The 26,833-nt window shown below is 38.7% G+C and overlaps 1 long non-coding RNA gene across 17 annotated transcripts in view; it reads left to right on the forward strand.

Moving 5' to 3' along the window:
• Nucleotides 1-26,833, forward strand: part of LOC105372058 (uncharacterized) — an 83,282-nt gene that overhangs the window by 13,282 nt on the left and 43,167 nt on the right. For 10 of the 17 annotated variants that reach the window (XR_001753390.2, XR_935347.2, XR_001753391.2 and 7 more), the window contains 2 exons: nt 8,455-8,746; nt 19,270-19,380. The exons of 1 other annotated variant lie outside the window; for it this stretch is intronic. This is a non-coding gene — a long non-coding RNA (uncharacterized LOC105372058). Of the gene's footprint in view, nt 1-8,454; nt 8,747-18,559; nt 18,738-19,269; nt 19,381-26,833 lie in introns of those variants that run through there. 6 more of the 17 variants (XR_935346.2, XR_935360.2, XR_935350.2 and 3 more) reach the window with 5 other exon arrangements.

Consider the following 26,833-nt stretch of genomic DNA (forward strand, 5'->3'; position numbering starts at 1 on the left):
TTAGTATAATAATTGGCATCTGCCTGACACATACGAGGGATTTTGTTGAGTTAAAAGGTGTCAGATATGCCACAGATGTCCTCATGTTCTGTGGTAGGGACTATTGTATGACTGTCTCATCTTTTAAAAAATCCTGTTGGCTTCTAGCAGAATATATTTCTTGAATCTAACTTTACGTGGAAATTCTCAATATGTGAGTGCTAGTATAACACAATTTAATGACTTTCAGAAAGAGCACAACCTCCTTAGGACCACCTCAGCCTGCAGATCACTGATAAAAACAGCTGGAGCTAGCATCTGTTCCTTACAAATCTTTCAAAGTCATAACAAAACTGGCCTGATTTCATAAACACAGTATGAATTTCAGTTTGTGTGTGGGAAACATGCCTAGGAAACCTAATAAGACTGGACGCATATGATGAAGTCCTTGTCCTTTAACTTGCATCGAGAAGTGCCAATGAAGAGAGACTAAAAGGAAATAAAGTGTGCATTTGACAATTTCCTAAGTAAGCATGGATTTTATCCTTCCAGGTTGATGCAATTTGGCAAATCTGTGCCCTTTTAATGCTTCTCACCACTCTCAAATTACAGTGGGGGTAGGTTTGAAATTGATCACTCTGACTTATAGTCATAAAGGTAACAGAGTGAGTGAGAAAACCTAAAACAGGACTCCCCTTCTTTTTAAACACCAGCTTTCCTAACGTGCATTTTTGTCTCCAGTTCCTTTGGCCACGCTGTAATCACTAGTGAGCTCTTCTGGCAGTTATAAGTCACATGTCATGTGACAGATTTTCCTGTATGATTTTCATTAAAATGCTTTGGAATCCTGGGACAGAAAGAAATTATGTAAATGTAAGTTTTTATTACTGTTTTGTTTTTATTACTTTTTCTCCTCTGGTGTTTTATCGCCTCATATAATACAGGTAAATATGGTGATCCCATGTTGAGATGGGGGTTTGTATTCTAATGCCTCTGGTCTCATACTTTGCATTCGATCCATGCTAATTTAATTATCCATGATTTCTTAGGCAAAGAGAGGAATGCAGACTCCATGCTGTCTGCAACTACTTCAGTCATTCCTTTACTGCCCGTGACACCATGTGAGACCTGCAGATGCTAAACAACCTCTCCCTGCACCAGCTCAAACAAAAAATGCTAACCATATGCAACTCCAACCTGTTTATCCTTAAGCAATGCAAAGCCATGCAGTGCTACAGACGGGCAGTGGGGGAGAGCACAGAGCTGCCACTTCTCACAGGGTTGCCTTGTGAGAGAGCAGAGCATGGAAGCACAGGAATTTAGGGCAGGGATGGTTGAGCTGGGTTCTTTTCTTTCAACTTTTCTTAGTGATAAAGACAAGAGCTCCTCTGAAATTTTATTAACATGTGTAGAATTGATGAACTGTTACTTAAAAGGTTAGCCCCTGGATTTGAGATTAGGAGTCTGAGGTGTTTTTGGGGACTGTGGATTCTGAATTCCTAATTACTCTGAGACATGATCTAATAGCTACTGGTAAGAATTGAGAGTTTACCCGGAAAAAATAAAGAGTTTTAATTCATTTTAGCTCATATTTAATTTGAATGATAGTTTTCTGTAGAACACTATTTTTGGCATAGATCTTTTCAAAGCATTCTTCACTTTGGCAGCTGAAATTTCTGGAAAATAATCCTAAGAAATTATTAAATATAGAAAATTTAAAGGGCACTGTAAAATGAAAATTAGAAAATAGAAAGGATAGAAAAAATAACTCAAAATGATATTAGAATGTAAAGTTATAATCTCAGTTTTTTCCTCCCAGACTTATTTATTCATATTTAATATTTCTCCCCCTTTGAACTGTAAAACAATATAGTCAAATTAAAGAGTATTTTGGAAAAGAATAAAAAAGAATGCTTTACTACTCCAATTTATTATTTCCTTTGTGCATATTCTTGTTAAAATTTTCTTCCTCTGCAACCTCCTCACCCTTGATTATTATTATTTTCTCTCATTACCTGAGAGATACAAACAGATCTGGTGAGATAAGCTTAGGGAAATCTTTCCAAACATCCGGAACAAATAACCATATAAATATTAGAGACAGTGAGGTGGAAATCATAATTCTTCAATTTAGTGAAAAAAAATTGTACATTTTCTAGTTAAATCCAGTTTGTATAGGGGACCTATTTTCAGTCATCTCTCAGGTATTTATTCCTATGGATCATGGCATGTATGTGCCAAACTGAATCTAAATTGAATGAAACTATCTCTGTCTCTGTCCAAAAAACAATCTTGTGAGTCAGCACTGCTTACTCATCTTTAGTGGTCAAAACCTTGTACTATTGGCCAAGCACAACAGACAGATGGGAAGTAAAAATATAAAGAGAAGCTATAGTTCTTACTTCAGGCAAGAGTATCCATATCTGGATAGATACTCTCAGAAAGTAGTGGTTAAGAGCTCAGGTCATGGAGCCAGACTTCTTGGCTTAGAATACCAGCACCTCCACTCACTAGTTCTATGACCACGGGCACGGTACATAACTTTGCTGAGACTCAGGTTTGTAATCTGTAAAATTAGGATACTATTAGAATCTAACTAATTGGACTGGCATGAGGAACAAGTAAGCTGATGCATGTAAAAATACCCAGCAAAGAGCCAGACATACATATTATTATTGTTGTTATACTTAATATTTGACATTGTCATCACATTTCAAATACTGTGCAGGATATTTGATCACAACTAAAATCAAACTGGTAGTCAGCAACATATAAAAAAGATTATGTGTTATGACCAAGTAGGATTTATCCCAGGAATGCAAAGCTGGTTTAGCATCTGAAAAACAATCAGTGTAATACATCATATTAGTAGAATAGAGAACAAAATCCATGTAATTATCTCAATAGATACAGGAAAGGCACTTGAAAATATCAAACACCCTTTCATAATAAAAACACTCAACTGACTAGCAATAGTAGGAAGCTTCCTCAACCTGATAAAAGGCATCTCAGAAAAACCCACAGGTAATATCATACTTACTGGTGAATTGTAGTACACTTTTCCTGTAAGATCAAGACAAAGATGTCTACCCTCACCACTTCACTTCAACATTGTGCTAGAGATCCTAGCCAGAGCAACTAGGCAAGAAAAAGAATTAAAAACCACCCAAATTTTAAGGAAAGAAGTAAAACTACCTTTGTGATCGATTATATGATCTTATGTAGAAAATCCTAAGGAATCTATGCCAAAAGAAAGAAGTAATAAACAAGTTCAGTAAGGTTGCAGGTTAAAAGATCATGATACATAAATCAATTATATTTTTATATATTAGCAATGAACAATCTGAAAGTAAAACAATTTCATTTAAAATGACATTATATGTGATAAAAATAATTTAGAAATAAATTCAACAGAAGTGCAAGGCCTGTACACTGAAAACTGCAAAATGTTGGAAGAAGTAAAAGAAGACTTGAATAAATGGAAAGATATCTCATGTTCATGGATTGCAATACTTAATATTGTTAGGATAGCAATACTACCCAAATTGATCCACAAATTCAGTGCAATCTCAGCTGCCTTTTTTGTTTTTGCAGAATTTGAAAAGTGGATCTTAAGATTTGTATGAAGATATAAGGGATCCAAAAGAGTGCAATCAATTTTGAAAAAGATGAAAAAACTTGGAGGACTCAACACTTCCCAGTTTCAAAACTTACTACAAAGCTACAGTAAACAAGACTATAAGGATAGAAATAGAGATCAACAAAATAGAATTGAGAGTTCAGAAATAAACCCTACTTATCAAAATATTTATGTAGACCTTTTCTCAAAGGAGATACATGAATGGCCATTAAGCTTATGAAAAGATGCTCAACATCACTATTCATTAGGAAAATGCAAATAAAAATCATGAGATGTTGCCTCACATCCACTAGAATAGCTAAAGCAAAAAAAAAGCAACAACATAAACCATATAGGCAATAAGAAGTGTTGGTGAGAATGTGAGAATTTGAAGCCCTCATATAATACTGATGTAGTGCAGCCATTTTGGAAAAGAGTTTGGAATTTTCTCAAAAGTTTAAACCTCATGAACTGCCTTTTTACTCTAAGGAATAAACCCCAAAGAAATGGAAATTTATCTCCACATAAAAACCTGGATATAAATGTTCATAAAAGCTTATTTCTGATAGCCAAAAAATTAAAGCAATCCAAATGTCCTTCAACTGATGAGTAAACAAAAGTGGTACAGCCATACAGTGAAATATTTGAAAACAGAAATGAGTGAATTTGTGATATATACTACAACATGGATATATATGCCTAATAAATGGACTAAAAGCACTTCCTCATAAAAAAGCTTCTATTATCTTATAGAATGAAGAGGAGATTTCTTCATATAGACAAGATAAAGTATTTCCTTGGTGCTATACTTTATCCATGAAGAGAACATTCTCCTAAGTGAAAGAAACAAGTCACAAGAGACCAGATATTGTATGGTTTCATTTATAGGAGAGACCCAGAATCGGCAAAATCCATAGAGACATAGGTAGATTAGTGGTTGCCAAAGGCCGGGGGAAGGAAAAAAGGGAAGCAACTGCTAATAACTGTGGGATTTCTTTTTGAGAGAACTTTTTTTTTCTTTTCTTTTTTTTTTTGAGACAGAGTCTCACTCTGTTACCGAGGCTGCAGTGCAGTGGCACCATCTTGGATCATTGCAATCTCCACCTCGGCTCACTGCAATCTCCACCTCCTGGGTTCGAGCTACTCTCCTGCCTCATCCTCCTGAGTAGCTGGGACAACAGGTGCCTGCTACCACTCCTGGATAATTTTTGTATTTTTAGTAGAGACAGAGTTTCACCATGTTGGCCAGGTTGGCCTTGAGCTCCTGACCTCAGGTGATCCACATGCCTCGGCCTCCCAAAGTGCTGGGAGTACAGGCATGAGTCACCATGCTGGGCCAGACATTTTCCTTTTGAGGAAAATGTCCTAAAATCAAGAGTGATGATGGCTGTACCACTAGGGGTATATTAAAAAGCCATGAATTTTACACTTTCACAGGATGAATTTTATTTTGTGCAAATTATATCTCAATAAAGGTGTTAATAAAACAAGCCAAAATCTGGTTGTACATTTCTTTTCATTATTTTGCCTTTGCCCTTGCCTTTTATTTTTTCTAGAGTTTTTGTTCAAAGTCTGTGGAGTACTGGGGAAATCTCCAGTGACTACTCCTTAAGAGTAGTGTATCATCCTTCAGTGAATTCATTCCCAAGAGTCAACAGTATTATTTGGCTTCTGAAATTTATCAAGGCAACTTGTCAGTGTTGTTGCTTATCCTGCTTAATCACACAACTAAGAAAGAACACTCTGTAATTTTCCATATTAGTTTTAAAAAAATCTGTGGTCAGTTAGAGAATAAAAACATCTGGGAGGAGATCTCAGCATGGACACTTCAGTTCTCTGAACCTCAGTGAGCACAGGCTATGCTGACCAAAAGCAGGATGTGGGTTCCATGGGGGACCTTATGTTAGCATTGTATGATCTGGAGATGACCAGTGCTGGCCTATACAGAGTCTTTCAGTCAGAAAGCTCAAAGCAGCCTCCTATCATAAGAGGATGTTTATTTAAATTATTTTAATATAGCTTTTAAGGACTAAGAAGATTTATCTTTACGAAGCTAAAATACTGACTAAAAACACTCAAAAAAGCTTTTATTTTTCTATATAATGAAGGGCAGATTTCTTCATATAGACAAGGTAAATTCATCCCTGATGTTACATTTTTGCTCTAATTTGTTAATTGGCCAGTCTATAATAGCCTACACTGTAATCATTAAATAATTATACAATACTTTCATTATGTTCACTGTCTGCAAATAAACGTTTGTGAATAACTGCCATGTTAGACATTATTCAATTTAAAACCAAATGAAAGCAACATATATTCTCAGTTTTGTTACTTGTCAGTGAGGAAGTTAGAAAAAAAATTAGAAAATTTTGCAAATCAAAACTACAGGTATAGGTTAGAAAAGGTGGTGTGACCATGCTATTTCCTCTTGCTCTGGCCCACCTCTGAAACGGATAGAAAGGGGATAAAATAGACTAAAAAGGGCAAAGATAAAATGAAAACAGATAGAAGCGGATGAGGGATTTCAATATGTTTTGGGAAACGGCCCTTGGTGGACTCACGAGCACGGAGGAAGATCTTAAGGTTTAAGATCTCGCAGTGATGAAAGTAACAAAAAGTGAGCTGATGGGCACCTCAGAATTTCTAAGGGACTCAGAACTTGGGATTAGCAGTCCAAGACAGGGCAGGGTGGAAGTATCGCACTGAAAATCAGGAATGATTAGAAGTATCTTAACAATGTCAGAGCCCAGTAAAGTCAGCTTTCTCCACTTTCCCCTTGGCCAGGTGGACTGGGAGCTATCCTCTGAATAACCTAGAAGGGGAAGCCTCAGGACTCAAGAACATTGCTCATCAATGAACAATCCTGTCTAATGGCATAGAGTATTCAATCACACTTAATCATACTTTACTAAATTATTCTTAAGTATAAATAGAAATTAGAGTAATAACAATCCAGTTTTTGATGGAAGTCTACAAGATGGAGAGAGAGAAAAAAATTAACTTGAAAGAAACAGAGATCATGCGGAGAACAGAAGAAACATTAAAAATTAACCAACCAACTAGCCAACTAACCAACCAACCACCACTACCACCAAATAACCACACAAAAACTCCAAAAGAATAAAAGAAAGCTTTTAAAGCAATATCCTCAGATTTAAAAAAAGGGGTATAGTAAGGCATTCATTAAAAAAAGCTAAAATATAACCAGAAAGTTAAAAACTAAATTATAAAAATGTGAAAATATCTTCATAAGTAGGATAAAAAGATCTAGGATGGAAAAACAAGAGAAAATATAGATACAAATATTTACATATATAAAATCAATCAAAAAAGTCTAACATCCTACCAATACATGTTCTAGGAAAAGAGAGTGAAGAAAGTAGGGTAGATGAATAGATTAATTTAAAAATACATTTTCCATCCTGGAGAACATGAGGTTTGAAATTCAAGGGGCTCAACACAATAGATAGAAATAAAATGACCATATTTGGCAAAGTATTGGGAATGGCAGGCCCCCAGAAATAGTAAGACTTCAACTTCTTGACATAAACATAATTTTCAACTCATAATTTTCTACCCAATCAAACCATCCATCAAGATTTTGAATAAGAAATAAATCATTTCCAGATGCCTCTTCCATTGTTTCTTTCTTTTTTTTTGCAAACTACCAGAGGTTAGGCTTCAGCAGAACCAAGAAATAAATGAAGAAAAGGAAAACATAGCTCTTTGGGAAAATATGTACATTTCACGAAGTTAGGAAAAGAAAATCTCAGATACTGTCTAGATAGCAGGCTTAAAGAAGCACCAGTTTAGAGTGAAGAAGGGAAACCAGTGTTTCTAGGAAGAAAATTTCCAGAAAAAAAGGTGGATCAGGGTGAAAAGAGAATTGCTAGTGTACCAGCTATGTTTGGAAATTTGAATAAAAAAGTACTAGTTTTAAATGTATGGTGGCTTCAGAGGAGCAGTTGGAAAAGTTATGAATTCGTTTCCAAAAAACTACTCAAATAACAAAAAACGGCAAAAATAAACTCTATCAACAGCAATTGTACAAGGAAGGAAATCTAATCACAGTAATTACTTGATACTATAGTACACAGTAATGTGAACACTGATTTTTGATTTAACTCTTTTTTGTTTTAATTATATTGAATTGGGGAGAAGTGGCAGATATAGAAAGTCAAAAGTGATAAAGACATTGTGGCCTAAGCAAATTATCAGAGATAAATGTTAAGAGAAGTAGTTAAAAGAGGGAATGATGGTCTTTAAAAAGGAGAACTGGGAAAGGGTAGGGCAAATTTCTGCTTGTTTTCATCATAACTCTTTAGTTATTTTAGTTATTTTACTATAACTTGCTAGCATATTATGATTCATTCATATTATTATAAAAGCCTATAAAAGATTATAAGGTAAACTTTAACTTGCAAAATGATATAAAATTATGGTAAAGAAAAAAATTACAAATTGAGTCAATTTTGTTTCAAGCTGATTATTTCCTTTTCACTCGATACATGATGAGCAGTTTTATTTTCTCAGACCATATAGGAGCCAGGGAAAAAAGACCTGTATACGCCAAAGGATGACCATGATGAAATGAATCTTTTCAAGCCATAGATCTATGATTTGCATACTCTAAGAAATGGGCAGCCAAAACAATTTTCTAAACTCAGTAACGATAGAGAGGACCATAACAAGAACTGATATATATCTGAAATAGCATAACATAATGTAACCAGCAGTATTACTTACAAGCCAATTAGATATCAACCAATTGCACTGCAGTTTAGGAATGTAGATGAGGAAATAGATGGGAGGCTATTCCACTTACCATTACAATCCTTTCTTTTGTATTCCAGAGGAACAGCGGTTTATTGAAAGGAAAGCAAATGTCCAGAAGCAAAAACAAACAAACAAAAAACAAACAAACAAACAAAAACAGAAAAAACTTCCCCAAAAGTAAAGAATCACAGCTTTATTCAGTAGCTCCTCAATTAAAATAGTCATCTTCTTAATTGTGCCATCTTCAGAAGCAGCCATATATACTGTAGTTAAGAGGCACATGGTGAGAAATTTGGGGTCCAATCAAGATGATAGGATTCATCTACATGGCAGCCCTCAAAGATTCTGGAAGAGAAAAATGGTGAAAAGGTAAATGATTCAGAGGGTTAGCGCACTCAATTGTATAAATAAAAATGGAGGATTCAAGTGCAATCAGCAAAATACATCATTTAAAAATTTTTATTGACAGATTTGTCAATCTTGTGCAAAGGAAATTTAGTAACCAACTCAATTTGCCAAATGTTTATGACTGCTTCCTATGTTTATAGAAATACAAAGCTGAAAAAGGCATATTTCACATGAGGAATTTAGGTAAGAAAAATAAGTCTGATTTATTATTATTATTATTATTTTTATTTGAGACAGTCTTGCTCTGTTGCCCAGACTGAAGTGCAGTGGTGCCATCTTGGCTCACTGCAACCTCTGCCTCCCTGGTTCAAGCAATTCTCCTGCCTCAGCCTCCTGAGTAGTTGGGATTATAGGTGTGTTCCACCATGCCCGGCTTAATTTTTGTATTTTTAGTAGAGACTGGGTTTCACCATGTTGGCCAGACTGGTCTTGAACTCCTGGCCTCAAGTGAACCACCCGCTTCAGCCTCCCAAAGTGCTGGGATTACAGGTGTGAGCCACAATGTCCAGCTAAGTCTGATTAATTATTGCTAGGAAGAATAATATAAGACCCAATTTTTTATTATTTTAAACAGTCAGTGAACCAGCTTAAGTAGATAGTCCGCAAATACTTATTGAGCACTTATTTATTTACTGCACTTGAAATCCGTACTTGAAAGATGAAGATGAGGAAGAAACTGAGTAGACTTGGAGGGAAGTGAATAAACATTGGACATTTATTATGATTCAGGTACCTGCTAGATGCATTACATAAATACTTCATTTAAACCTCACATCAATCCTATGCGATTGTTGCTGTTTCTCAGATTTTACAGAGGAGAAAACTGAAGCATAAAGGGTCAGGTATTTTGCCACAGGTCATGCAGCAAGTAAGTGGTGGAGTTAGGACTGGATCCTAATCTGTTTGATCCTATTTCCACTCTCCAAGGCCAGTCCTCACACTGGGTAAAGTCGGCTATGATTTAGAAAAACAAGGGCACAGGGCACTGTAATTAGTCTTTTTAAATATAAAATTAAATGAATTTACTTGGAGAAATATTCATTATTCTTAGGTTATGCTCTTCCTGTATGCGTGTGTGTGTTACAATGTCCAGGTGAGGATATTTTGGTAATAGAATATACTGATTTCTTTTTTTTTATTTTTTTTATTTTTTTATTTTTTTAATTATACTTTAAGTTTTAGGGTACATGTGCACATTGTGCAGGTTAGTTACATATGTATACATGTGCCATGCTGGTGCGCTGCACCCACTAACTCGTCATCTAGCATTAGGTATATCTCCCAGTGCTATCCCTCCCCCCTTCCCCCTCCCCACCACAGTCCCCAGAGTGTGATATTCCCCTTCCTGTGTCCATGTGATCTCATTGTTCAATTCCCACCTATGAGTGAGAATATGCGGTGTTTGGTTTTTTGTTCTTGCCATAGTTTACTGAGAATGATGGTTTCCAATTTCATCCATGTCCCTACAAAGGACATGAACCCATCATTTTTTATGGCTGCATAGTATTCCATGGTGTATATGTGCCACATTTTCTTAATCCAGTCTATCATTGTTGGACATTTGGGTTGGTTCCAAGTCTTTGCTATTGTGAATAATGCTGCAATAAACATACGTGTGCATGTGTCTTTATAGCAGCATGATTTATAGTCATTTGGGTATATACCCAGTAATGGGATGGCTGGGTCAAATCATATTTCTAGTTCTAGATCCCTGAGGAATCACCACACTGACTTCCACAATGGTTGAACTAGTTTACAGTCCCACCAACAGTGTAAAAGTGTTCCTATTTCTCCACATCCTTTCCAGCACCTGTTGTTTCCTGACTTTTTAATGATTGCCATTCTAACTGGTGTGAGATGATATCTCATAGTGGTTTTGATTTGCATTTCTCTGATGGCCAGTGATGATGAGCATTTTTTCATGTGTTTTTTGGCTGCATAAATGTCTTCTTTTGAGAAGTGTCTGTTCATGTCCCTCGCCCACTTTTTGATGGGGTTGTTTGTTTTTTTCTTGTAAATTTGTTTGAGTTCATTGTAGATTCTGGATATTAGCCCTTTGTCAGATGAGTAGGTTGCGAAAATTTTCTCCCATGTTGTAGGTTGCCTGTTCACTCTGATGGTAGTTTCTTTTGCTGTGCAGAAGCTCTTTAGTTTAATTAGATCCCATTTGTCAATTTTGGCTTTGGTTGCCATTGCTTTTGGTGTTTTGGACTTGAAGTCCTTGCCCACGCCTATGTCCTGAATGGTAACGCCTAGGTTTTCTTCTAGGGTTTTTATGGTTTTAGGTCTAACGTTTAAATCTTTAATCCATCCTGAATTGATTTTTGTATAAGGTGTAAGGAAGGGATCCAGTTTCAGCTTTCTACATATGGCTAGCCAGTTTTCCCAGCACCATTTATTAAATAGGGAATCCTTTCCCCATTGCTTGTTTTTCTCAGGTTTGTCAAAGATCAGATAGTTGTAGGTATGCGGCGTTATTTCTGAGGGCTCTGTTCTGTTCCATTGATCTATATCTCTGTTTTGGTACCAGTACCATGCTGTTTTGGTTACTGTAGCCTTGTAGTATAGTTTGAAGCAGGTAGTGTGATGCCTCCAGCTTTGTTCTTTTGGCTTAGGATTGACTTGGCGATGCGGGCTCTTTTTTGGTTCCATATGAACTTTAAAGTAGTTTTTCCCAATTCTGTGAAGAAAGGCATTGGTAGCTTGATGGGGATGGCATTGAATCTGTAAATTACCTTGGGCAGTATGGCCATTTTCACGATATTGATTCTTCCTACCCATGAGCATGGAATGTTCTTCCATTTGTTTGTATCCTCTTTTATTTCCTTGAGCAGTGGTTTGTAGTTCTCCTTGAAGAGGTCCTTCACATCCCTTGTAAGTTGGATTCCTAGGTATTTTATTCTCTTTGAAGCAATTGTGAATGGGAGTTCACTCATGATTTGGCTCTCTGTTTGTCTGTTGTTGGTGTATAAGAATGCTTGTGATTTTTGTACATTGATTTTGTATCCTGAGACTTTGCTGAAGTTGCTTATCAGCTTAAGGAGATTTTGGGCTGAGACGATGGGGTTTTCTAGATAAACAATCATGTCGTCTGCAAACAGGGACAATTTGACTTCCTCTTTTCCTAATTGAATACCCTTTATTTCCTTCTCCTGCCTGATTGCCCTGGCCAGAACTTCCAACACTATTTTGAATAGGAGCGGTGAGAGAGGGCATCCCTGTCTTGTACCAGTTTTCAAAGGGAATGCTTCCAGTTTTTGCCCATTCAGTATGATATTGGCTGTGGGTTTGTCATAGATAGCTCTTATTATTTTGAAATACGTCCCATCAATAGCTAATTTATTGAGAGTTTTTAGCATGAAGGGTTGTTGAATTTTGTCGAAGGCTTTTTCTGCATCTATTGAGATAATCATGTGGTTTTTGTCTTTGGCTCTGTTTATATGCTGGATTACATTTATTGATTTGCGTATATTGAACCAGCCTTGCATCCCAGGGATGAAGCCCACTTGATCATGGTGGATAAGCTTTTTGATGTGCTGCTGGATTCGGTTTGCCAGTATTTTATTGAGGATTTTTGCATCAATGTTCATCAAGGATATTGGTCTAAAATTCTCTTTTTTGGTTGTGTCTCTGCCCGGCTTTGGTATCAGAATGATGCTGGCCTCATAAAATGAGTTAGGGAGGATTCCCTCTTTTTCTATTGATTGGAATAGTTTCAGAAGGAATGGTACCAGTTCCTCCTTGTACCTCTGGTAGAATTCGGCTGTGAATCCATCTGGTCCTGGACTCTTTTTGGTTGGTAAACTATTGATTATTGCCACAATTTCAGGTCCTGTTATTGGTCTATTCAGAGATTCAACTTCTTCCTGGTTTAGTCTTGGGAGAGTGTATGTGTCGAGGAATTTATCCATTTCTTCTAGATTTTCTAGTTTATTTGCGTAGAGGTGTTTGTAGTATTCTCTGATGGTAGTTTGTATTTCTGTGGGATCGGTGGTGATATCCCCTTTATCATTTTTTATTGTGTCTATTTGATTCTTCTCTCTTTTTTTCTTTATTAGTCTTGCTAGCGGTCTATCAATTTTGTTGATCCTTTCAAAAAATCAGCTCCTGGATTCATTGATTTTTTGAAGGGTTTTTTGTGTCTCTATTTCCTTCAGTTCTGCTCTGATTTTAGTTATTTCTTGCCTTCTGCTAGCTTTTGAATGTGTTTGCTCTTGCTTTTCTAGTTCTTTTAATTGTGATGTTAGGGTGTCAATTTTGGATCTTTCCTGCTTTCTCTTGTGGGCATTTAGTGCTATAAATTTCCCTCTACACACTGCTTTGAATGCGTCCCAGAGATTCTGGTATGTTGTGTCTTTGTTCTCGTTGGTTTCAAAGAACATCTTTATTTCTGCCTTCATTTTGTTATGTACCCAGTAGTCATTCAGGAGCAGGTTGTTCAGTTTCCATGTAGTTGAGCGGCTTTGAGTGAGATTCTTAATCCTGAGTTCTAGTTTGATTGCACTGTGGTCTGAGAGATAGTTTGTTATAATTTCTGTTCTTTTACATTTGCTGAGGAGAGCTTTACTTCCAACTATGTGGTCAATTTTGGAATAGGTGTGGTGTGGTGCTGAAAAAAATGTATATTCTGTTGATTTGGGGTGGAGAGTTTGGTAGATATCTATTAGGTCCGCTTGGTGCAGAGGTGAGTTCAATTCCTGGGTATCCTTGTTGACTTTCTGTCTCGTTGATCTGTCTAATGTTGACAGTGGGGTGTTAAAGTCTCCCATTATTAACTTGTGGGAGTCTAAGTCTCTTTGTAGGTCACTCAGGACTTGCTTTATGAATCTGGGTGCTCCTGTATTGGGTGCATATATATTTAGGATAGTTAGCTCTTCTTGTTGAATTGATCCCTTTACCATTATGTAATGGCCTTCTTTGTCTCTTTTGATCTTTGTTGGTTTAAAGTCTGTTTTATCAGAGACTAGGATTGCAACCCCTGCCTTTTTTTGTTTTCCATTTGCTTGGTAGATCTTCCTCCATCCTTTTATTTTGAGCCTATGTGTGTCTCTGCACGTGAGATGGGTTTCCTGAATACAGCACACTGATGGGTCTTGACTCTTTATCCAACTTGCCAGTCTGTGTCTTTTAATTGGAGAATTTAGTCCATTTACATTTAAAGTTAATATTGTTATGTGTGAATTTGATCCTCTCATTATGATGTTAGCTGGTGATTTTGCTCGTTAGTTGATGCAGTTTCTTCCTAGTCTCGATGGTCTTTACATTTTGGCATGATTTTGCAGCGGCTGGTACCGGTTGTTCCTTTCCATGTTTAGCACTTCCTTCAGGAGCTCTTTTAGGGCAGGCCTGGTGGTGACAAAATCTCTCAGCATTTGCTTGTCTGTAAAGTATTTTATTTCTCCTTCACTTATGAAGCTTAGTTTGGCTGGATATGAAATTCTGGGTTGAAAATTCTTTTCTTTAAGAATGTTGAATATTGGCCCCCACTCTCTTCTGGCTCGTAGGGTTTCTGCTGAGAGATCCACTGTTAGTCTGATGGGCTTCCCTTTGAGGGTAACCCGACCTTTCTCTCTGGCTGCCCTTAACATTTTTTCCTTCATTTCAACTTTGGTGAATCTGACAATTATGTGTCTTGGAGTTGCTCTTCTCGAGGAGTATCTTTTTGGCGTTCTCTGTATTTCCTGAATCTGAACGTTGGCCTGCCTTGCTAGATTGGGGAAGTTCTCCTGGATAATATCCTGCAGAGTGTTTTCCAACTTGGTTCCATTCTCCGCATCACTTTCAGGTACACCAATCAGATGTAGATTTGGTCTTTTCACATAGTCCCATATTTCTTGTAGGCTTTGCCCATTTCTTTGTATTCTTTTTTCTCTAAACTTCCCTTCTCGCTTCATTTCATTCATTTCATCTTCCATTGCTGATACCCTTTCTTCCAGTTGATCGCATCGGCTCCTGAGGATTCTGCATTCTTCACGTAGTTCTCAAGCCTTGGTTTTCAGCTCCATCAGCTCCTTTAAGCACTTCTCTGTATTGGTTATTCTAGTTATACATTCTTCTAAATTTTTTTCAAAGTTTTCAACTTCTTTGCCTTTGGTTTGAATGTCCTCCCGTAGCTCAGAGTAATTTGATCGTCTGAAGCCTTCCTCTCTCAGCTCGTCAAAATCATTCTCCATCCAGCTTTGTTCCGTTGCTGGTGAGGAACTGCGTTCCTTTGGAGGAGGAGAGGTGCTCTGCATTTTAGAGTTTCCAGTTTTTCTGTTCTGTTTTTTCCCCATCTTTGTGGTTTTATCTACTTTTGGTCTTTGATGATGGTGATGTATAGATGGGTTTTCGGTGTGGATGTCCTTTCTGTTTGTTAGTTTTCCTTCTAACAGACAGGACCCTCAGCTGCAGGTCTGTTGGAATACCCTTGCTGTGTGAGGTGTCAGTCTGCCCCTGCTGGGGGGTGCCTCCCAGTTAGGCTGCTCGGGGGTCAGGGGTCAGGGACCCACTTGAGGAGGCAGTCTGCCCGTTCTCAGATTTCCAGCTGCGTGCTGGGAGAACCACTGCTCTCTTCAAAGCTGTCAGACAGGGACATTTAAGTCTGCAGAGGTTACTGCTGTCTTTTTGTTTGTCTGTGCCCTGCCCCCAGAGGTGGAGCCTACAGAGGCAGGCAGGCCTCCTTGAGCTGTGGTGGGCTCCACCCAGTTGGAGCTTCCCGGCTGCTTTGTTTACCTAAGCAAGCCTGGGCAATGGCCGGCGCCCCTCCCCCAGCCTCGCTGCCGCCTTGCAGTTTGATCTCAGACTGCTGTGCTAGCAATCAGCGAGATTCCGTGGGCGTAGGACCCTCCGAGCCAGGTGTGGGACATAGTCTCGTGGTGCGCCGTTTTTTAAGCCGGTCTGAAAAGCGCAATATTCGGGTGGGAGTGACCCGATTTTCCAGGTGCGGCCGTCACCCCTTTCTTTGACTCGGAAAGGGAACTCCCTGACCCTTTGCGCTTCCCAGGTGAGGCAATGCCTCGCCCTGCTTCGGCTCGCGCACGGTGCGCACACACACTGGCCTGCGCCCACTGTCTGGCACTCCCTAGTGAGATGAACCCGGTACCTCAGATGGAAATGCAGAAATCACCCGTCTTCTGCGTCGCTCACGCTGGGAGCTGTAGACCGGAGCTGTTCCTATTCGGCCATCTTGGCTCCTCCCCCATACTGATTTCTTTCTTTCTTTTCTTCCTTTTCTTCTTTCTTTCTTTCTCTTTCTTTCTTTCTTTCTTTCTTTCTTTCTTTCTTTCTTTCTCTCTTTCTTTTTTTCTTTCCCTTTCTTTCTTTCCTTCCTTCTCTTTCTTTCTTTCTTTCTTTCTTTCTTTCTTTCTTTCTTTCTTTCTTTCTTTCTTCTTTCTTTCATTCTTTCTTTCTTCTCTCTTTCTCTCTTTCTTTCTCTCTTTGTTTCTGACAGAGTCTCGCTCAGTCGCCCAGGCTGGAGTGCAGTGGCGTGATCTCGGCTCACTGCAACCTCTGCCTCCTGGGTTCACGCTATTCTTCTGCCTCAGCCTCCCAAGTAGCTGGGACTACAGGTGCCCGCCACCACGCCAGGCTAATTTTTTGTATTTTTAGTAGAGACGGGGTTTCACCATGTTAGCCAGGATGGTCTCCATCTCCTGACCTCGTGATCCACCCACCTCAGCCTCCCAAAATGCTGGGATTACAGGCATGAGTCACTGCACCTGGTGAAGATAGTGATTTCTTAATGCTTCTCTCTATTTATAGATCTATCTGTAGAACTACATAAATAGATCTATAGATATGTAACTTTTAATGCTTACCTCTATATATTTATAAATCCATAGGTGAATAGATATAGAAGTCCATCTATGGATATGTTTCTACACACATATATGCTTTTACATGTATAATAATGGTCTTATACATATTTTCTCATATATATTTATTTTTATATATCTTATATATATAATTAATGCTCAGATATAGGTGTATGTGTATATATATAAATGTAAAATTTTATTTTTTTAAATTGGGTATTGGACTAAGTAATATTACATAGGCAAACCCCCACTTAAAAATTTTTACTTGATATGAAATCTACAAATATAAGAATTATTCAAACACAATAAAAAGATTACTCAGTCATCTTCAGGTATTTTTGATAGCTATTCCTTGTAAGAGAAAGGGTTTGTAAATCACTAGCATTTCATGATTGCAACATACAGTGAAGGGCAAAATTTTTTTTAGATAAAATTTCAGTAGTTTTGATAAAAACCCACAAGAAAGTTACGTCAGTATACAATCACATGGTTAGGTATACTGTCATTATTTGGGACATTTTAAAACAAAACCCTCACATTTGCCAACATTTTTTGAAGAGAAATTTAATGAATAATGGTATTTCCTTATTACAGAATTATTTATTTTTCTTGAAACAGTCTGTTGCTTTCACCAAATTGTGAGAGGAACTTACATTTTATGGAGAAGAGAAAAATTCAAGATTTTGTTTTCTCTTTCCCATAAACCAAAATGCCACTGTTAGTCAGGACCTTGGCAATGAAGCTTAGTGCTTTGAGAATTTTGGGGGAGTGTGGCTAGAGGGTAAAGCACCAAATCCAAAGCACCTTTGTCATTTACCACCATAAGATTTAGTGAAGACAGTTTGGGTCTGGTATGGTTTGAATGTGTCCCCTCCAAAATTCAGATGTTGCCAATGTGATGGTATTAAGAGGTGGGGCCTTTAAGAGGTGATGAGGTCATAAGGACTCCTTCCTCATGAATGGGATTCAGTTCTTTAAAAAGAGGCTTCACCCAGCATTTGACCCTGTTGTCTGTCTGCTTTCTGCCACGTGAAGACAGAGAGTTCTCTCTCCAGAGGATGCATCCCTCACCAGATAATGGAACCTACAGGTGTCTTAATCTTGGACTTCCCAGCCTCCAGGCTGTGAGGAAATAAATTTATATTGTTTATAAATTACCCAGGCTCAGGTATTTTGTTATAGCAGCACACACATACTAAAACAGTGCCTCTGAGACTTAGTTTTCTTGCATGTAAAATATGGATGTTAACCGTGGCCCACTTGAGATAAAGCATATAAAAACCTTTTCAAACTAGAGCTCTACATGAAGATGATATGTGAAAAGGAATGGCACAAAATTTTTAGCTAAGAATTTGTATTTAGTTGATTAGTTATATGTAGTTGATAGTTGAGAGGGGAGCAGAATACTGACTCAGAAAGTGTGTGTTTTTGTGCAAACACACTAAGAGTCAGAGTCAAGTTTATCTCAAAAGACTTTGAGGGTTGCCCTCCCCAGTTTCTCCCCCTTTTTTCAAGGACCTCACTTCCAGCTACCAGCTCTCTCCCTTGCTCATTCTGCTCCAGTGGCCTCCTTGCTGATTCTTGAAAATGTCATGTATGCTATGGCCTCAGGGCCTTTGCATTTGCTCTTTCCTTCTACTGGGAATACCCTTTTCTTAGCCATTCACAAGGCTTGACACCTGACCTCCCTCAGGTCATTATCTATGTGCCATTGCTCATGACCATCTAAAATCACAAACTCTCCATCCCTTTCCACTTTATTTTCCTTTATATCACTCATTATGTCACTTCTGTTACTTATTTTTGTTTGATAATTGTCTGCATTCCTTCCACTAGAATGTGTGCTCCAAAGGGCAGGCAGTTTTTTTGTTGCATTTACTGTTGTGTCCCTAGATCAGCGTCTGTCACATAGTAGGCACTCTATATACATATTTGTTGAATGAATGCTAGTGAATGTTCCCTTTTCTTACCACAGAAGAAGCAGCAAAGTATCCAGCCAAAGTTTCTGTTTGCCATCTATTCAATTTAATACTAAGAGATTTGTGCTTGACTGTCTTTGAAGAAATTAAAGAGAAGGCTAAAGAATGTTGTATGGGTCTGTTGTAAAAGCTACCACAAAAGGGTTGCAATTAAAAATAAAATTTGACAAGTAATTAGTCTACATTTCTTTTTTTAGTCTACATTAGTTATCTTTTTTAATTTTGAGAAAGACATTACAGATTGGTTAAGATATTTCATCTCTGATTTAGCAAATGCATCCAATAGTAATTCCTGTATAAATGTTACTTTTTTCTACTCCTCTTCTCAAGATTTATTGCTGGAATATTTTGATGAATTTTGAGTCACACAAACCAAATTTTATAGTTTAGGATACACATAACATAGTGAATCTAAGGATAGCATTAAGTTTTCTAACTATAAATGTACCCATTAACATTTATTTCATATTTTATTTTTTCTTGTGGTTAAAATCTCTGATATATAACTTCTTTTACCACTTAACACGACTAGGCAAAAATATTGACACCTCTTTATGGGGGAATTAACAAATATTACATTGATGATGCTAATGTATTTTCTCTAGTATTCAATGGGCTGTACAACTTCACATTTAATAGTTCAATAGTACAACACAACAAAAAAATCGGAGTGATAATAAGGACACTTATTTTGTCTCATATCTAGATACTCAGAGAGTGAGAGCCTTCAGATTTGGGTGAGTGATGCCATTAGAACCAAGATTTCTTCCATTCTTCTGCTCTATCATTCTCAGCACAACATGCTTTTCTCATTAAGGTAATAGTTTTTAATCTAGCCCAAATATACTGCCACCTCCCTCCAACTAGTGTAAGAAATATCTGCTGTCCCATGTCGTTTACTTCTGATTAGAATTGTACCTGGAAAGGCAGCCCTTCCAGGTACTGAAAGCTGAGGATCCCTAAAGCAAAAGTCACAAGGAAGCAGCTTACATTACGTAGAGATGGAGAGTATGGGGAGTAGAGTTGGTCTGCCAGTGTTCAGATAGTGACCCTACTTCTCATTAGCCATGCTATCTTGAGTAATTACTTCATTTCTATGTGTAAATTAAGGTAGATAATAGTGCCTTCCTTAAACACATTAAAATTATTTAAAACCATGTGTGGCCTATGAAAACTGCTCAATAATCATAAGTTTTCATGATTATTTCCCAGTTATAATAGATCTCCCAAGCTCAATATCAAATTAGCTGTTATCTGGACAACACAGACAATAGTTCAGGCCCAAGCTGTTACTTCCTTAATAATCTGGAGCTTTTAGGAATCAGGCATTTCATTTGCTTAGTTTATCTGGGTAATACAATGTACCTTGTCATTGAGTTAGTGATGAGGTTAAAGTTATGGTATAAAGATGAATAGGTATCTGGGAGATAAGTGGATTGGGGTTACACCTATAAGTGATACCTAAAGAAACCATTGGGCAGGTAAGCACTATTCAACCCTATTACCAAAGCATGGCATGTGTGGATCCTATGGACAGCTTGTACTAGGAGGAAGCTTTATAATTTGATATTTCACATGATAGCCTGATTAAATTTCTTGCATGTCCACAAACATATATATGTATATTTTAATATTCATGTACATGTAGATACAGAGACAGAAAGAGACAGCTCATAAGACAAAAGGTATTATCCTTATAGGTCTTATCAGTCAAAGATCTGGAGAAAACAACAACAGACTAAAATATTTGCACAAATACCTAGAGAGCGATGAATGCTTTTGGAGCAACCCTGGTCAAAGCAGCATGTTCTTGTTCATTTTTTTTTCTTTTTAAAGTCCTCCCCTTGCTGTTCTTGTCCCATAGGTAAAGAAGTGGAGTTGATTTTACAAATGACTATTGCTCTGATGTTTTTAAAGAGCTTCAGGAAAATAAGTGAATTCCTACTGGAGTTGACACTCAAGCTTTCTTGAGAACAAACCCTCTTGCCTACCCTTCTGATGTGGCAGCTTTTCAAGCAGTTTCCCTTCCTTATGAAAGGAAAGGATTGTGTTATTATTAGAGGAATTATCAAGCCGTCTGCACTTCTTTTCTATAAGAAAAGAGAATAGGGTGTCAATCCTGTAAATGCCACATTGTTTTTTATTTTTAAAAAAGGTTCTTTCTTTTTTTAACATTGCGATGAGATCCTGATATATACAACCCTAAAATTATTCACGTGCTGCTATTGGGAAGTCCCCCGAAACCTAGGGCAGTGTGAAAATGAGAAGAAGGTAATATATTTTTTAAAAGCAGGTGGTTGAGTGTTTTAACCACCTCTGTTCTATGATCATGGAGAAAACACCCCTTCCCCCTACCCCATATCCGCAAAGGATTCTAAGGAAACAGTTTTGAGTCTGTTCTCCTAGGACCGCAGCTATTCAGGCCCTCTTCATTCTTTTAAGGTGGATATTGACAACCTAGCAGGTCACAGAAGTGTGTTTAGTTTCACTCTGGGACAAAGAAACAGGGAAAGTCAGTCACATTTTGTGTACGTGTGTTTGTGCATGTGCACACAGTGTCATGCAACCTTATGTGTGTGTGTGTTTGTATGTGTGTGTACGTATGTATAGAGATTGGATACGAATTTGCCATGGCTTTTGTTAAACAGCAAATAAGCTTTGCCCATTTGGACATGCTATCAGAATTCTGAATTTCTGGTTAAAAATCTCTCCGCTTGAACATGTCTGCTGGAAATCACTGCCGTTGCTGTTGCCAGGGGTCATTAAATGTACAGGAGAGGAGGCGAGGCAGAGATGCTCTTCCTTGTCTTAAATGAGCATGGGTTAGTGCAGAACACTGGTGGATGAGCAAGTTATATACAATCCCAGGGACTCCGGTCCCCCTCCTGGGGACTGCGAAATTCTATGCCACTGTGAAGCAGCTTAGAAATGAGCCGACAAAGAAGTCCGTTGACTTTAACGTGAATATGCTCGAATCACACAGAAGACAAGAATAAATCACCTTACAACTGCGTCTAGTGTAATTTTCCTGTCTCCTTCCAGTTCCCCCACCCCCACCCCTTTTGTTCTTTGTGGATGTTTTTGTTATCAGCAGCATCATTGAGAAGCTGCCTTTTTGGGATTTTTCTATAGGTGACTAGGGTGTGAGCTAGGTGCTGCTGCAGTATGAATCTTTTAAAAGGCGCCTAAGAAATATTTAAGACCCTGGTCTAGGAGGAACGGCTCTCCCAGGCATAATTTTTGGTGCTGGTTGCAGCAGGGAGCGTATGCTGGGAGGAAAGTATTATTTTTCTAAATGGAAGGTGTCAGATGGTCACGCAATGTGACTGCATGTTCGAGATCACTGCCTCCCATCTGCAATTTGTGACGTGTGAAAGATTCTGCCCAAATGTGCTCACCAACTGGAAATCCTCGGCACTTTTTTTCCTTATCAGGAGAGACCAAGATAACCAATGGTTTACAGATCAGGGATCCTATCAAATTAATATCACTGTAGGATAAAATCTGTTTTAAATACAACTCCTAAACTCCAGCAAAGTTAACTAGTACAAACAAGTTCATTCATCTGATTAAGAACCGCTGCTCAGGAAACAACAACAAAATGAAATCTGCTTATCACTGTCTCTCACTTCAAAATAGTCTTATGTTTATAGCTTTCACAAACAGGCTGGATCCAAAAGATGATATATTTTTCCATGCTAATTAATATAGACCAAATGACAGCATCTACCAGGACTGAAGCAAAGCATTTTCAAATCATTGTTGGTTTTTCCTTGTCTTATACTCCTCTGAGTCTTTTTCCAATTAAACACGGCAAAACTCAGAAAGAGCAGACTATTTAGCCATTGCCTAAGTAAGGGTTCTATGTTTTGAGCTGAGTTCGAAGCTTTGAGTTCTGTTTATTCTTGGCTAGGCATAATTCCCAGCTTCTCAAATAAAAGGGTCGTAAAAAGGCTCATGAGGTGCTTCAGACATCAAACAGCTCATACAAAACAATATCTTGATGAGTTAAGTGCAAATGAATCAGAAACATAATGGGCTAAAATTTCCTTGTTGTGCACAGGGGTTGACATTTCAAGGAGAGAAGTTCTTGGCTCTGCAAAGCACACCTTGAGTTTTATCACCTTCGACCCTTGGAAAGGGAGTGTCTAGGTTTGGCCTGACTGAGAGGTGGGCTTTGTTTACTTTATTCTAAGCTGCTAGAATACAAAAAAGGGAAGGTCTTGCTCCAGTTTTTAGTTTCTCATCTGTATAAAATGAGGAAGAAGGAAGGGCTAGAAGAAAGAAATCCTCAGGCGAGTGCAAAAGCTGTATTCATTCCCAAATCATTTTATATTGTATATTTTGCATCACAAAGCTCTTCACAATCAGTGACAAAATATAGAGGGATTACAAATTCAAGAGATGGATCACCATCACTGTTTTGTGAAGCGGCATGCCACTGTTGGCTGCTGAGGGTACGTAGGAAATTACAAAGGGCTGAAATCCCCTGTGCTAAGACAGTGATCTGGAGTACAAAGGCATGGGCATGACACCTCCTCCCAAAAGAAGTGCCTGAAACTGCCCTTGAGGGGCAAAGAACAACACCATCTGATTGCTTCTCACACAAACCATTGCCATATACTGAGGCCTGGCTGGTTCGCTTTAGGGGTGACCCAGGTAGGCCAAGTAAAAAGAACAGTGATGTGAAGAAGAATATGGCAAGACATCGGATTTTGTTGAAGGAAGAGAACATGCAGCTGAGAGGAGGCTGTTCCAGAATAATTTATCAGGGAATAAAGAATGAACAGAGGAAAATAGGTCTTTTACTCAATAATAGCCCTTTGCATTGATTCTTAGGGTTCCTTTAACAGTAAAGCCCTCCTCTCTCTTCTCAGCAAACCCAAATCCTGTCTAATCTTTAGAACTCAGCCAATCCATCCTTCTCTGCAAATGTTCTCACATTGTTAGGAGCCTGAAATGAGTTGTACTCATCCTTCTCTGAATTCACTCACCAAATATTGTTTCTGCAATCATTTTGGCAATTAAGTGAAAGTCAATGACTTTTTGGTTGGCTTACATATTTCATTAATTTTTGTTGGTTTCTATTGAAATTGGAGGTTTCTTGAGGCGAGGTGTTAGCCTTAATTTTATCTTAGGTTTGTACTGAAGTAGGGCAAAGATCTCAACTTTGCACCCTAAGTCACTGCACTGTACCTGTAGGTGGGTATCCCTGTGCCACCTTTAGAGGCCAGGAAATCAATTCTGAGAGGCCATGTCTCATGTCCATGTCACAGCCTAAGTTGTGGAGCCAAGCTTGGCATCCTGACTGATGAAAAAGTTTTTTCTTAGATAGAAACTAAGTAATTGCTTTCTGTGTTTATAAAAAAATCAGGGAGATGTCTCATGAGTATGTTCATTCTTTTGTTTCAGAGTGAAAGCATCCCTTACATCTCTGTTCCTTAGAAGCCCTGTCTTTGCTTACTCCAGGAGAAGAGAAGGCATAGGTGGCCATTACATGGGTTTTGATGTGAATTGCTGGCCAAGGTACTTTGGAGTCTTGCTGTGGTAGTTTGGAGTTTGCTGTTAGAAGAGTGATGTTGCAGCCAGTGTTTCCAATTGCTGTCGAAACAGAAATCAGTCTGCTCCTGATTACTCATCAGCAGTTGTACCACTCAGGATTTGTTCTTGAGATTATGAGGGGCTCTCCACCCTGGCGGCATGTTAAAATCACTTTGGAGGCATTTAAGGGGGCAAAATAATGCCTGGACCAGATTCCCAGGGATCTTGATATCCAGTTGGTTTGTAGCGGGGCACAGGCATCTGTTTTTTGTTTTTGTTTTCATTTTATAAGCTCCCTACTTGCTTCTAATGGCACTCAGGGTTAAGGAACCCCGAGAGACCATGCTGGAGACCTAGCAGGTGCAGTGAGTAAGCCGCTGGGGGAGAATTTAGTGCTGGCAAAAAGAACGCTCTTACAGCCCCTTACTTCTCTTACATGAAGCAGTCACTCTCACACACACGTTCCCACTCCGCCCAGTAATCCATGTTAATCCTGGTCTGGAGCAAGCACTTCTAAGTAGTAAAAGCCTAAAAAATGCTTTTCCACTTTCATACTGTGATGCTTTTGGGGGGCTGTTGTTGCTGGTAATGTGATGTATTATGTGCTGGGCATATAATGAAGACGTGGGGCAATCCACTAGATGTGAGTCCAAGCCATGGTCTGAATCTGAGTGCAGATTTTCCAGAGCCCCGTGAAACAATGGGAGTGACTGTGTCTTCTCACCTATTGTCCTGGAGCCATTGCCCTTGCAGGTACCTGCCACATCCCTATGCTTCCTGGGCCCAAAGACATTCCAACCCATATTCCTGAACACTATGAAACTCAACATAGAGGATGTGCTGATATGCTAAACATGCAGAGCCCACCTCTATAAAGCTTACCACCTTCTCGGGTATGGAAGCAGTCTCAGCTTTGTCTGTGGCAGGTCTGTGACAGCCCCACGCCATGAAGAGGAAGGCCCACTGTGACTCCAAGCGGTCCCACCTCCCTGCTCATGGGAACTGCCAGATGTTTTACTTGTCCCTTTCTTCTCTTTTTCTGACGGCTTTTGATGGGTTCTATAAGGGGGACAGTGTTGAGGTGAGGGGAGGAGGCAGGAAGAGAAAAGTCCTTCTCAACCCCTCATTGGCATTCACATCCTCAGCTGTTGCACGTTCATCTTCTGGACACTTATTTATTTTGTCCCCTTCTTTCTGTCTCCTTGGAGATGCCAGTTCCTCTCTCTATAGGCATGCTGGCGGTAGCATTTGTTGGGCATGATCTAGAATCAGTACTTCCTTAAAGATTAGGGAAAGGCTGAGTAGTTAATAAAGAAGAGTCAAAACTGTGGGGCAGAGAAGAGGGAAGGAAACAGGAGAGAAAGAGTGGGGGCTAGTAGGAAAGAATATGCTAGCCACATGTTCTGTCTCTTTGGAATTTTCAAAGCTTTACTAGAACTTAAAATATTGGTATTTTCTACTCAGGAGGCTGATGTGGGAGAATTGCTTGAGCCTAGGAGTTCAAGGCTGCAGTGAACTGTGATGGCACCACCGCACACCAGTCTGGGCACCAGAGTGAGACCCTGTCTCCAATAAGCAAAACAGAAAAGAAAAAAAAAGAAAAAAAAATATATATATATAATTTGTACACACACACACACACACACACACACACACACACACACACACATATTCTTCTGTCTTTAGACCTTACCTCTTCTCATTTTAGGTTCCCTTTCTGAGAGATTTTATTTACTTATCTACTTGACTGCTTCAATTATTTTGTTTTCTTCCTCTCAGGATATTTAAATATGTGTGCAATTTGGTTTGTAATTCCTTTCCTGAGCTGTAGAGCTGTGTATTCATTCACCTGTCAACTGTATAGCCCTGCCTGGATTTCTCAAGGCATCTCAAAATTCGTGTGTCAACAACTCACCTCATAACTTTCCCCTCCCTACAGCATGCTTCTCCAGCACACCCTTTCTCAGATAATGGCGCCAGCCCAACCAGTTGATCAAGTTAGAAAGCAAAAGGTTTTCTTAGCCTTCCCCCTCTCTGACCCCATATCTACAACAAGCCAATTATTAAATCCTAATTCTGCTCCTTGAATAACTCTGAAATTCACCTGCATATCCTTTTTGGTTGTATATTTCAAAGGCCTTGTGGTAGACTGACTAGTGCCCTCCCACAAATGTGTTCACATCCTAGTCCTCAGAACCTGTGACTATTTTACCTTCCATGGCAAGAGGGACTTTGCAGAAGTGATTAAGGATCCTGAGATGGAGAGATTGTTCTGGATCATCTCGAAGGGCTCAATGTAATCACAAGGATCTTTATAAGAGAGAGTCAGTAGATTCAGAAAGAGAAGAAGATGTGACGACAGAAACAGACACAGGAATGTTGGGAGGCTATGACCCACAGAATGCAGGAAGCTCCTAGAAGCTATACAAGCAAAGAAATAGGTTTTCCCACTTGAACTTCCAGAAGGAACTCAGTCCTGCTGACCCATTTTAGACTTCTGACCTCCAGAACTGTAAGAGAATAAATTTATGTTGTTTTAAGCTCCTAGGTATGTGAAAATTTGTTACAGCAGTGTCAGAAAACTAATATAGACCTCAACCATTTTCCTTCTCTCCAGTTATGCAAACTTCTAGACCCTTCCTGCCACAGCAGTCAGAGGGAGTGTTCTAAAACACAAATCTGCTCATGGCTATTCTAAATGTTGAGATGCCTTCTGCAAGAATAAATCT

This window comes from Homo sapiens, chromosome 18, assembly GCF_000001405.40.
Source record: "Homo sapiens chromosome 18, GRCh38.p14 Primary Assembly".
NCBI classification, from domain to species: Eukaryota; Metazoa; Chordata; class Mammalia; order Primates; family Hominidae; genus Homo; species Homo sapiens.